Raw genomic sequence first — 12,652 nt, forward strand, 5'->3', positions numbered from 1 at the left:
GACTATTACATAGCAAATGACTGCTGCCACTTTGCACAGCATTTACTTTGGCAGAGTAATGTAAACATTCAAGAGGGATTAGGGAGCAGATAAGTTTCTCCTTTCCTATTCTGTTAAATAAACCTCGGCCGAGTTAAAAGCCATTATAGTATGAACGAGAAATCCCCTCAGAAGAAAACTCTTGCACAGATTAGACGACTCAGTAAACAAATTTGACCAAGGATTACAAATTTTTTTTTTCCTGAAAGCAAAATACCACTAGTTAAATCCAGCCACTGAAAGTCAGGAGGCAGGGGGGAAAAGGCAAGAAGGGGAAGTAGAATCTTGCAAGAAAACTGTGACTTCAAGTAAACAAGAGAAAAACTGAATCATTTTAGAAATATTTGGTGAAGTGATATGGGGCAGGCTGGGTGCTCTGACAGTTTAGGACTACAGAATCCATCGAAGTAGTTTTGGATGAGTAGGTTCAACTGACCAATGTGGCTTGGGCACAGAAGCTCCAGCCTCCAAGTTGTCACCTGCTGTGAGGATGAAGGAGGTGACGTGGGAAGGAGCTCCTAGCCTACTATAGATGGCACCCTGGTTCTCACACTCAGCCTCAGCCTCAGCCTCAGCCTCACCAAGTCAATTCTTTTTGGCTATGCTAAGCAGAACCACTGGCCACAAGAAGTTTTGCAGTTACCCTGGAAATCAGCCATTTCTTTCTCCCTTTGGCCTGACCGGACACAACTGTTCCCCACATGTTGTCCCCTGTACACTCACAGATGAATATCTAGTGATGGCAGTGTTAAGGTTTTGAAACCGAAACCCAGCTGTCTTCTTCTTCAAAGGGCCCCTGTTTTCCCCTGTTGGGAGGCCAGGGTTCACAGCGGAGCTCTATCCAGCGGCGTTTCCTGTCCTGCTTCATTAGAGCCGCCACAACAGCTTGCGCGGCCTGCTAGGCTGCAGGTGAGGCTGCAGGGACCCTGCACTCCAGTCTGCGTGTGTCTGTCATCATTGAATAAACAATCCTTCCCAGTCCAAAGACAGAAACAAACACTCTAGTACACTGCACCACCTTGGACATCTAACGGGGTGCGACCATCCGTGGTCCGCCTCTGCCTGCTGCCTTTGTGTGACGGCTTGAGTCCCCACTGCGGAGTACCACAGTTGGGACTATGGTGGGCTCTGTCCAAGGCTGTGGCACAAAGGGTCCTCCTGCACTCAAGAAAGCTATGGTCCTCATCAGAAAGAGACACACCCACAACAGAGTAACAGTTTGGGTGGAAGGAGCTGGAAGTCCTTCCCAAGTGCTTTATTTAGTTTAGGCTTTCGGACTGATGTAGAAGATGATCATGGAGCATCATCATGACCCAATCAGAAGACAGAGAAAAGCGAAAAGGAACAGCCTGCTCCCCAGGCACCTGCCTGGATCCAGGCTTCTCTCCCTTCTCACCCACTGTGGCTCAGGTAACTCTGTCCCAGGCTCTACCCTCACTCCCAGGCCTGAGAGTCAAATGGAGAGGCTTGTGTTTCATATGAGGTAATAAGTTTTAAACTTGAGAAGTTTCCTCCACCCACTGCCTTCCCGATCCGGGGTCCCACCGGCCCTTGTAAGGAGGGCAAGGGCAGGTTCTAAAGACAGCACTTATGGCAGCAACAGCCCATAGTCAAAATCACCCTGAAAAAGCCCTTAAATTACCTCCAAATATGGCGGACATGGTCTGTGTAAACACAAAGTAGTTAACCTGAGTTGTGGGGTCAGGCTGAATGACAGCATCCTGCATCTAAATCTGTCGACCGGGTGAGCTGCTGGCTCTTGAGCTGAACTGAGAGCAGAGGACTGCCTTTTCTAATCTCACTCCACTTGGGATGATAATCACTCCAACTGGTGAGTTTGTGTACACGTGGATGACTGGCCTTGTGTAAGTTCAGCGTGAATATAAAGGGATTCCACTTCTTTAAGTATTAAAACAGAAAACCATTAAAAAATTTTAAGAGCTCTCCGACACCTCTTTCTACTAGTTCAGTTCAAAGCTATGAGATGGGACCAGGCAAGGTAGGTATGGAAGAGAGCAGGGGACAGGGATGGTGGGAGAGGCTGACCAAGTCGAGGAAGGCAGCAACCACCTGGGAGAATGCTGGTCCACAGCAGGACATCAGACTCAGGTGAGGGGAGGAAGCTGTCCTCCCGAAGGGGCAACCTGGTGTTAGAGTCCAAGTGGGAGGAGAAGGGTGTCCCACTGAGGGGTCATTGGGCATAGTGTGCTGGGGCCCAAGCAGAGTGAGGGGCCTAGTAAGGGAAAGTCAGCGTCTGAGCAGGATGAGGAGGGAGTCTCATGGGGGAGGCCTGACTTGGAGTTTCATGACTCAAGGGGGCAAGGAGGGGTTAGACCTGGCATGGGATAAAGACAGCATCTATGTGGAGTGGAGGGCCTGACCAGCAATGGTATTAGAACCCAGAAGAGTACAAAGAACATCTGGAAGGCAGTTCAATGTGGGATGTCAGAGCCTGAGGGGTGGGAGGGCTTCCACCAAAGTGGGGGTCGGGGGAGGGGAGGGAGGCGAGGCAGAGTCCATGTGGTTGAGAATGCTGTCCGTGATAGGAAGGGGCAGCAGCAGCTCTGCCTAAGGTGCCACAGTTCAAACAGTAGCACATGCTACTGTAAAAACAGGGTGAGGAGGGTGGCGCTGTGTAGGAAGGGGGCTGCAGCAGAGGGCCACTGGTTACAAACAAGGAACAGATCAAGACTGACCAAGCTGGTAAATATATAATGGGAACCAGGTATCTTACTATCAGAAGAGAGTTACAAATCCAGTTAGGGAAAGAATGAGAATGAACCCCACGGTGTCAAACTGGAACTGAATGTAACTGTGGGGCATCATGATGTTCAGTAGACAGGTAGGAAAGTAGAGACAGATAAAATAAATAGAAATACAAATCTATGTACATACATACCTTCCCTAGTTTTAGTCACTGAGAAGGCCTGGAAGCAGAGATATCCCAATTATAATGAGCACACTTAGTGCCCAGATATTGGTTTCTAAATACTATTCTCCAGTAATAGGAACCTGGGCTCCTTGAAAAAAAATGTCTGATTCCAGGGCTGGGGCTGGGAAATGCTGTGTTGGGTTAGGAAAAAAAAAAAAAAATAGCAGTGCTCAACACATGATCAGGACATATCAACAGGACACGAAAGCCAGTGAGGAGGGGCTTCCACTGACAAAATCTGCATGACAGGCAGAAGAAAGCGCATGAGCGATGGCTTTAGAACCAGGTGGGAAGTAATTCTTTCCCCTCATCTTGACCTCAGCAGAGCCCAGTGGATTTCAGCCTTATCAGAACCAGCATCTACTTTGCTATCCTAAAAACAAAATCTTAATGTAATCTAGTCATTCACAAAACCAAAATAATGCTCTGGCTCTCCTATAAAAGAGAAATAAAAATAAAAGTAATTTGCAATAAAATTTTAGGATGTAACACTCAGGCACCATTAGAATAGATGATACAATGAAGCAGTGCCTCCCGGGGGAAGACTTGCGGCAGAGCTGCTTGTGTTCATGTCGGGACTGATGAGTTTAAAAGTAACATGACACAGGGTCTTTCAGTTGCTTTTGGTGACTTGCTACTGTCTGAGGAGCTCCTGACATTCCATGTTGAATACCTGAGGAGAGGTATCCCTTTCTTTCTGTCAGCAGATTTTGCCAACGTGTTTCCAATGGCAAAGCATCCCTTGGTTAAGACCATTCAGCACTCAATATTTAAAGCCTTCCTATTAAAACAAAACAGAACAAAACAAAAAAACCTCCTCCCCAATGTTAAAAAGCAGAGCAGCATGGCACATGCTGGGGAGAACACTGGCTTGAGTCTGGTAACCCCGAGTTTGAATCTTAGTTCTGCTCCTTTCTAGATGTGACACCTCGAGAAAGCGGTCTTCCCAAAACTCAGTTTCCTCCTCTATGAAAAGATATACACCACCTGCTAATGTACCTGATGGACATGACAGCCACCAATCCAGAACACGCTTCCTGTCCCCCTTGGCAATCTCAGCTTTGGGAATCTCTCTTTGATTCCTGGTGTCTGGGTCAGAGGCTCCTCCAGAATTCTACAGAAATTCCTCATACCATGTGGTCAACCAGAATGGGCAGGAAAACAGAAGCTCTTATAAGAGGAAAATACTCACCAACAATGTGACTGCTTCAAACAACATGACCCTTCTCCACCCTTCCAGTTTCCAGACAATACGTCCCCTATCCACCCTTTCAAGTTTCACCTAGCATCTATCCCTGCTCCTCTGTCTGTATCTCAGCCAAACATCTATAATAAAATGCAAATTTGCCATGAACTAAAACTACAACTCTTGCAAAGGAGACTGGATTTTATGAAGCCCATGTTGGACATGCTGGATACCTGCACAGAGTTGAGGCAAAGTCACTGACAAATGAAGACCTGGCTGTATTAGACCACTTAACAAGACATGAAGAGAAAAATCAAGAAAAACAAGGATAGTAACACAACAGTCACATCAAAAGAAAATGATTTCAATATGAAAGGATAAAAGAGACCTTCGGGAAACTGAAGTCCTCAAATACTTTTGGAAAAAAATGACTCCTTTTATGATTATGCTGTGAAAGTCAACTATGAACTGTTATTAAGTCAGAAAAATTATAACCTCCTCTCCCCACAATACTTGATGCATTATTCTTTCTAAGAATTACTGCATTGTTGGAATTAAGAGACAGAGTTTGTTGAGGTAAATTTATACTTTTTTATACTTTTTCTAGATAAAATCCTAACCTTTTCCTCATTTTTACTATGAGCTTTTGGTCCCCATTTAAATTGATGCATTTTATTCCCAGAATATGAAGACCTCCTGGGCTTACTAGACATTAAAACTCCCCATCGTTTATAATACGTGCTTGTTTGCCTGTCTTCTCCATTGGTGTCAACTCCATGAGATCAAGGACGGTGACTGTGTATTGACTATTTAACCCCTAATTATTCCTGGCACATGTGAGACATTCAATAAATCATAGCTTACCTTGACAGACGTAACTCATCTCTATAGGTTCTATTAAGGCCATTAATTACCACTAGAGCTACAGAGTAACAGTCAACCAACTCTAGTCGGGACGTGGGGATCCAAATTTAGCAGGCAGCATTTGGGTTTGGAAAATGACCTGGTTTTTAAAAAACAATTCCTGCAAATGTCCTGCTGGAGTCTGGGATAAATAATGAGTATAGAGCAAGTGATTATTCAAAGTAGATCAAGGAATACTTACAAACAAGATTTCTTGCCCTTTGCCCATCTCCTCAACACAAGTAAACCCCACCATCTACTCTTTTTGTTCCCATTTCAATTGCTATGTAAAAAGTTCACAAAACCAGGCTGATGACAATCATCTGAAAACCTAATTTTTCAAGCACACGTGAACCCTTAAAATTGTTCAAGAATCCTCTAATCTGCAGTGCCACAGGCCTCCTGTTGCCCACCCCCTCCAGTCTGCTCCAAACATTTTTCCTCTTCTGTCCCTCTCTTCAGAAGATACTCTTCTCTCCAAACGCACCAAAGAGAAAAGCTTTCACATGAGCTCTTCCACTCCTATACTTCTCATTCCTTTCCCTCTCCCTCCTAACTCGAGGTGAGAAGGAGGAAAGACCCCAGAGCCCAACTGCACTGCCTTCTGTAAGACACATCTTCTCCCCTATTATACTCAGCCAGCAAGCATTCCCACCTTTAAGCACAACAGAAATCACTCATGTGTGCTGGTCTATGATTCTCAAACCACAACCTTAGCACCAAGGTTATATGTGGTTCCTCCCTAAGGGAAAAGCACACCTCATCTTCCTGAGATAACCACATTTAGCTTCAATGAACATTTTTACAGAATTTAAAACTGAGACGTTTCCAGTCCAAACATCACACATTTCTAGATGATTCATTTTTCAAATGTTCCATCAATGGCATCTACCCACATATTTTCCCATGCTTATTAAGACCCACCAGTATATGCCTGGCCCTCTGCTAGGTACATGGGGGAATAAGGCCCATGTCTCAGTATCTGGGGAGCTCACAGTCTAAAGAGGAAAGCAGACACACTGGCAGATAATGTCAGCAGCACTGGGTCAGTGCTTTGATAGAGGTTCACAAAGGGAACACAGAAGAGATTCTAGAAAGTCTTCCAAGAGGAAGTGACACCTCACTGATCAGCTTGACACTGATTGCAAAGTCAGGAGACCCACCTGGGTTTGAGTACCAGCTCTGTTACTTACTGGCTGTGGCCTGAGCCATGCTCTTCCTTCCCTACATGTGAAATGGGAATATCTACCCTCACATGGTTCTTTTGAGGCTGAAACATATGTAAATGCACCTATCACAGTGCCTGAAACTGAGTACAATTTGTTTCACCCTGATAATACCGTACTCTTTGATAACATCAAAAGTCAAAGCAACCTCAATAAGAGAAAAACACAATCCTCTTTGGGAGCTCTAAGCCAGTCTCACCCAGTCTGGGCATTCTGCTTTGCTCACAGCTGCTAATCTCAAACTGTAAATTGATTACGATATTTAGTTAAGCTCAAGAATCTCTGATTTATGTCCATAATTAATGTCCCATTGTGATACCTATTATATCTATGCAGGAAAATATATGTACTGAATGAGTAGAAATATTAATTTGCATTATGAAGAAACACCAAAAACTCCCATAAAACATCTGTGCTTATATAAATCTACCCAAACATACACTTGGATTTGATTTTGGAAACAAGGCTCTTTTCTTTCTTGATGGGCATTCAATAATTGTTGCTTTTAGAGAGTGGCTTTGTCATCTTATTTCTATGAGAGTATTACTTTGATTGAAGGAGATTGCTCAGGAGGAAAGCACAGAGGCACTTTTCTGTTATCACCGGTGAAGTGTTGGTAACATGAGATCTTTGGAATAATGGCACCTGCACTGACAATTCAGTGTAATTCTCAATATTTTCCATTGAGCCCAGGCAGGGTGAGCACATAGGCCTTTCATCATTTTCCTAGGAGAGTTTATGATGCTGCCTACTCCTGTATTCACACACCTGCAAGACTTTCCCCATTCAGAGTATCTTATTTTATGGTTTAAATTACTACTGTAATATAATGTAATGGGTTAGTGAGGTTCTAACTAAGGCCCACCCTACTGGAGCTTTCATAGCCTAGGAAATACACTGTCTCTACTAGAAAAAAAAAAAACACAACAAAAGGAAGAAATGGCTACATGAGGATCCGTGTCCTACTTGCAGTAATAAACAAAAAAATCAATGATCCCAGTCAGATGCCATTTGATATTAACCTCATTTTAGGGCTAGAGAGTAGAAGCTAATGCAGTAAGGGGGGAAACTAGGTATCAAGTGTTAGGTGCTTTGAAATATTACTCTTCATAACTCTGTGAGATGAATTATCCCATTTTACAGATGAGAAAATTGAGTCGTAGAGAAATGAAGTAATTTCCCTAAGATGACACAGCTACTAAAACCACAGATCAGACACAAAACCAGTCCAGCATGATTTCTCAGTCTGACCTGCTCTAAACAGTACAATAGTAGTATGATCACGTACAATGATAAATCCTGAGATTAGGATATAAAATCCTTACCTTGTGGTTCTCACTGTAGTGCTTGATAAGATAAAGGAAAGCTTGCCTCCAAAAGCCCCTCGGCTCCAAGTGTTCTGAGCAATCTAACTCTGGCTGCCTCCCAACAATTCAGCGTGTTTTCTTACTTTGCCAGCTCCAGGGACACTAGTCATGTGTCAGCTCTTTATTGCTTCAGGAATTAGTGTACATGTTATATTCAGAAACACAAATATAAATAGCTCAATTTAAAATGTTTTAATCAAACACAGCAGAAGAGTATTTTAAGTTTCCAGTGTTTCGTGTCAAGACCCAGTGCCTCTGCTATACCCTAAATGCATATTTTTAAGAACTTTTTCTAGAAAAACTATGGCCTATGTCTTAGATTCTTAAACAGACTGTGTTGCCTTTTTTAATTTAAAGTATAAAGCTTTAAATGTATGCTTATGGTGACAATTAAGGAAATGCTAGATTAGACAGGGCATCAGCTTTCCACAAATAGTACTCATTTAAGTTCATTTCCACCCCAGATCTCTGCTTGAATGTTATATCATTCAATCGCAAATCTCTCTATAAAAGTGTCTGGCTGTCTCTTAAACCCATTTACGCTCTATGCTTCAATGCCTTTCCTTGGCAACTTTTTCCATATGCTTAACTTCTTTCAGGGAAGCAGTTCTGTCTCAATTCACAGAACAGCACACCAATCAACACAAGCAGGCAGGCAGGTAAAGAAAGGAAGAAGGAGAGACGGGCACACAGAGAAAGTAGGATATGAATGAAGCTAGTCCAATAAAAGTAATGTTTTAGGAGGCAGAGTTTTAGCCCAAAATAAAATGAACCTCGCACCTACCCCCCCAGCGATCAGAGAGCTCTGAACTTGAATTTATAACCCAAACACTCTGTACCATATGCAACTTGAGACACACAACTGGTGGCACTACTGGGGATTTATGACTTATGACTTGTTCATATTTAATTTGTAACCAAACACTTCCCCTTCCTCTTAGCTACCTTAGAACTCTTGATTAACTCTTGTTTCCACAGGTCAGAGGTTAAATAAAGGAAGGGAAGCATTCTGGGGTGAGATTGCCCAGAGCACCACATCCAAGAATGACCCTGTGCAAGGAACATTAAAATAAGCGATAAGGCCAGAGATTGTTCCAGACAGCTGATGTTCAAAGCCTCCTTCGGGTACAAAGCAGAACCTTTCAACTAGAGAGCTGGCAACAAAGACAGACGGGAAACTGGTCTGCTCTCAAGTTACCTTTAGTGACGAAGCAACTCTTTCACTGAGAAGTTTTTCCCAAAATGTTTCTGAAAATGAAACCGAGGGGTTTTTAGAGAGAGTAAAGCAAGAATTTGTGCAAGGCAAGCAGCCCTTCTTCTTGCTTCACTCTGCCATGGGATTCTGTCTGGCCCACCAGATTCTCCTATTCTGTGGAAAAGCTTCACGGCTATCTAATTTTGCAGCAGACCTGGGTCAGGCTGAGGGAAGCAAAATTATTTGTACACAATTAATTACATGGAAGCCCAGCAATCCTGAAGAGGACTGAATCTATTCAACTACAACTACAAGATCCACCTAGGTGCAAGCACATTGACTGCTGTGCACCAAACCGATCAAAGTATTAGAAGTAGAGTGGTAAATATTTTAATAGTAGTGGAGACCATTTATTCAGGAATTTACCAAATGCCAGGAGCATTACATGCCTTTGCTTATTTACTCATTGTAATTCTAGATAGGGTACCATCATATCCCCAGATACCGAATGGCAAAACTGACACCCAGAAAAGCTAACTTGCTCACAGTCACACAGCCACAAAGTAGATGAGGGTCGAATCCAGTTCTGTGTGACTTCCTATACTAGTAAGTACTTTTCTGGAAAAAAATCCCTGGGAATGGTTTCAGTAAAGTGTATGTTACACAGTGATTATACTTTACATTTGATTAGCTGTTGTCAAAATGAGATAATAATTAAGCTCATTTGTGTTATAGACAGCATTCATTCACTCATTCATTGCCTAATATATATAAGTCAGGCACTGAGTAGAGAGTGGAATATGGCATAACTTCCACTAAAGTTGGTCCCTGGTTTAGATTTGTGCGAGAAGTCATCATGGCATTAGGAATGATCTGATAGAGGCAACAGGCGCAGAGCTTGGAAAATGTGGTAAGTAATGGTTGGGCCGCCCTGAAAAGAGGTATGATGCGCATTCCTTCTGTACCCAAATCACACAGCAGCCACAGCATGAAATAGGCAGGTTTCTCAAATGAACCTTTCAACAGAACAGAGGGCCCCAAACACGAGGAGGCTGAAGAGCTGGGAATCCACGACAAGGCACCCAAAGCTACAACATAAAATGCCACTGGTCACTCTCTGTTGAGACCCTGATGGAATTCTTACCCTCAGCCACTCCCGATTTTTAAAATAACCTTTGTACAGATGGCACTGCTTTATTATAAGCCATGAAAAGCAGTCCATAATGTTACAAAACCCTAATTTGTTGTTAAAAAAACTCCCTCAAATTAAGGCTGTATTTATAATTTTCAAAACAGAAACCCTAAAAACTAAATTTTAGAGAAAAGATGCTCAGTCAGCAAACCTCCTGGCAGAAATATGTTTCTCTGATGTAAATTCTTTTTTGTTTTTTCCGAGACAGAGTCTTGCTCTGTTGCCTAGGCTGGAGTGCAGTGGCGTGATCTCGGCTCACTGCAACCTCCACCTTCCAGCTTCAAGCGATCCTCCCACCTCAGCCTCCCAAGTAGCTGGGATTACAGGTGCATGCCACCATGCCCGGCTAAATTGTGTATTTTTAGTAAAGACGGGGTTTCATCATATTGGCCAGGCTGGTCTCGAACTTTTGACCTCAAGTGATCCACCTGCCTTGGCCTCCCAAAGTACTGAGATTAAAGGTGTGAGCCACTGCACCTGGCCTCTGATGTAAATTCATAAACTCATATAGGATTGAATGAATGCAGGAAAGTTGCCTTTTAATGAGTTACTACAAAAAGTAGAAAATTAAAACGAAGGGCAGAAAAATGTACGCATGAATCATTTTTACTATGTTTTTACCGGCCTTAAATATTGTGACAATTTTTTTGGTAATATATTTTAAATGATAGTTCTTTTATTACTTATAACAGCACAACACACACATGCACACACACACTTCTCTAAACATGTGCTAAGAGAATGGCTAGAGAGATTACAGCAAATCCAGGCAACAGAAAATTATATTTTAGATTATTTTTAATCATATGGGAAAATGTCCATAAAATAATAGTGGTTGAAAAGAATGGCCAGGTGTGGTGGCTCACGCCTATAAACCCAGCACTTTCAGAAGCCAAGGCGGGTGGGTCACTTGAGCCCAGGAATTCAAGACCAGCCTGGGCAACATGGGGAAACCCTGTCTCTACAAAAAAATACAAAAGTTAGCTGGGTGTGGTGGCGCCTGCCTGTAGTCACTGTAATCCTGTATGCCTCAGCTACTCAGGAGGCTGAGGTGGGAAGATGGCTTGAGTCCAAGAGTTGGAGGTTCCAGTGAGCCAAGATCGCGCCACTGTACTCCAGCCTGAGTGACACAGCAAGAGTCTGTACCAAAAAAGAAAAGGGAAAGGGAAAGGAGGGAAGGAGGGAGGGAAGAAAAGGAGGGAAGAAGGAAAGGAGGGAGGGAGGGAGGGAGGGAAGAAGGAAAGGAGGGAGGGAGGGAGGGAGGGAGGAAGAAAAAGGAGGGAGGGGGGAAGAAGGAAAGGAGGGAGGGAGGGAGGGAGGAAGGAGGAGGGAAAACAAGGGGTATACACCACTATGTGTCACATGCCATCATATATGCTCCTAGAAAGACCAGAAGAAAAGACAAACTAATAGTGGTTTTTCTAGATTATGGGATTGTAGAAAATCTTTTTCTTCTGCATTCTTTTCTGTGTCTTCTACAGCTTATGTATTGAGCATGCAGTGCCTTAAAATTTAAGAAAAAAAAGTTGCCTGTTAAGTACTGTTATTCATAATTGAAAATACTTGAAAGCAACCTAAATGTATAATAATAGAATGATTACAATATATTATGAACTATCAAAATGATGGAATATTATATATTCATTAAAATCAGACTATAGAAGAATACTTAACATGGAAAAACATTTACAATATATTTAGATATAAAAGCAGGCTCTATAATATATACGAAGGATTTTTTCATTTTAGTTTTTGTGTTTTCCTATATTCTCCAAACTTTCTACAGTCTACATGTATTATTTTATTAACTGTTAACAAAATATCCCCCCTCCTTTTCTTTCTTTAAAAAACAAACAAACAGCCACAGGTATGATTCCCCGCTGGCTACCAACTTCCAAGTGGTCTTGCCGAAGGGCTAGGGAGGTGGATTGGTCAGAGAGAATAGAATGAAGATGCAACAGCCCTCCTGCTTCTGTGAGTGAGCTTAGTAACTGTGATGACCCAGTTCCAAAATGGGCTTTCTGGATGAAGCGGAAGTTTGTACTCTCTAACAAACTGGTCACACGAGAGCCTCATGCTCTTCCTCCTGTGCCATGCTTATCATGGATCTCAGTTCAGGGCAAGGATGGTGTGCTAATAAGGTTTTCAGTGACCTTTCCTTAATGTGGGTACAGTCAGCCTCAATAAACCCTGGCAGGCTCAGGAAGACAGCAACCCTCCCTTATCTAAGGTCACTCTTAGTTGAGAGGGAATAAATGGGGGGGTCAGAAGCTATTTTTTCCCTGTTAGATTTTCAGGCCAAATCTGCAAGGCTGGATCATTCATACAAACATTTAGTAAGCATAAATGTGTGCCAGCCCTGTCCTAGACAGCTAGGATAAATCAATGAACAAGACACAGTGCTGTCTGTCCTCAAGGAACTATTAAGTCTCTTGGGGAAGAGACCTGCAAAGGATGGATCACAATGCTACGTGATGATGCTGCAACACAGGTGGGCAAAGGGCTGTGGCAGCACCAAGGAAGGGCATCTCCACTAGACTGTAGTATCAGCTAAGTGAGGAAGGCGAACTGGATGAAACAGAAGCACATTCTGTCTGGAGGAAACCAAAAAT

The 12,652-nt window shown here is 42.9% G+C and overlaps 1 protein-coding gene across 41 annotated transcripts in view, besides 2 other annotated features; it reads right to left on the reverse strand.

The window, feature by feature from the left end:
- DENND1A (DENN domain containing 1A) overlaps positions 1-12,652 on the reverse strand; it is a 550,469-nt gene that overhangs the window by 299,144 nt on the left and 238,673 nt on the right. The window lies entirely within an intron of this gene.
- Positions 720-799: an enhancer, noted in NCBI's record as "active region_28945". NCBI's record gives its function as "activates an Ori minimal core promoter by ATAC-STARR-seq in GM12878 lymphoblastoid cells {active_cell/tissue: GM12878}" and the evidence as "EXISTENCE:reporter gene assay evidence [ECO:0000049][PMID:35858748]".
- Positions 6,041-6,090: an enhancer, noted in NCBI's record as "active region_28946". NCBI's record gives its function as "activates an Ori minimal core promoter by ATAC-STARR-seq in GM12878 lymphoblastoid cells {active_cell/tissue: GM12878}" and the evidence as "EXISTENCE:reporter gene assay evidence [ECO:0000049][PMID:35858748]".

The sequence above is a fragment of the Homo sapiens genome, chromosome 9 (genome assembly GCF_000001405.40).
Source record: "Homo sapiens chromosome 9, GRCh38.p14 Primary Assembly".
Classification (NCBI taxonomy): Eukaryota; Metazoa; Chordata; class Mammalia; order Primates; family Hominidae; genus Homo; species Homo sapiens.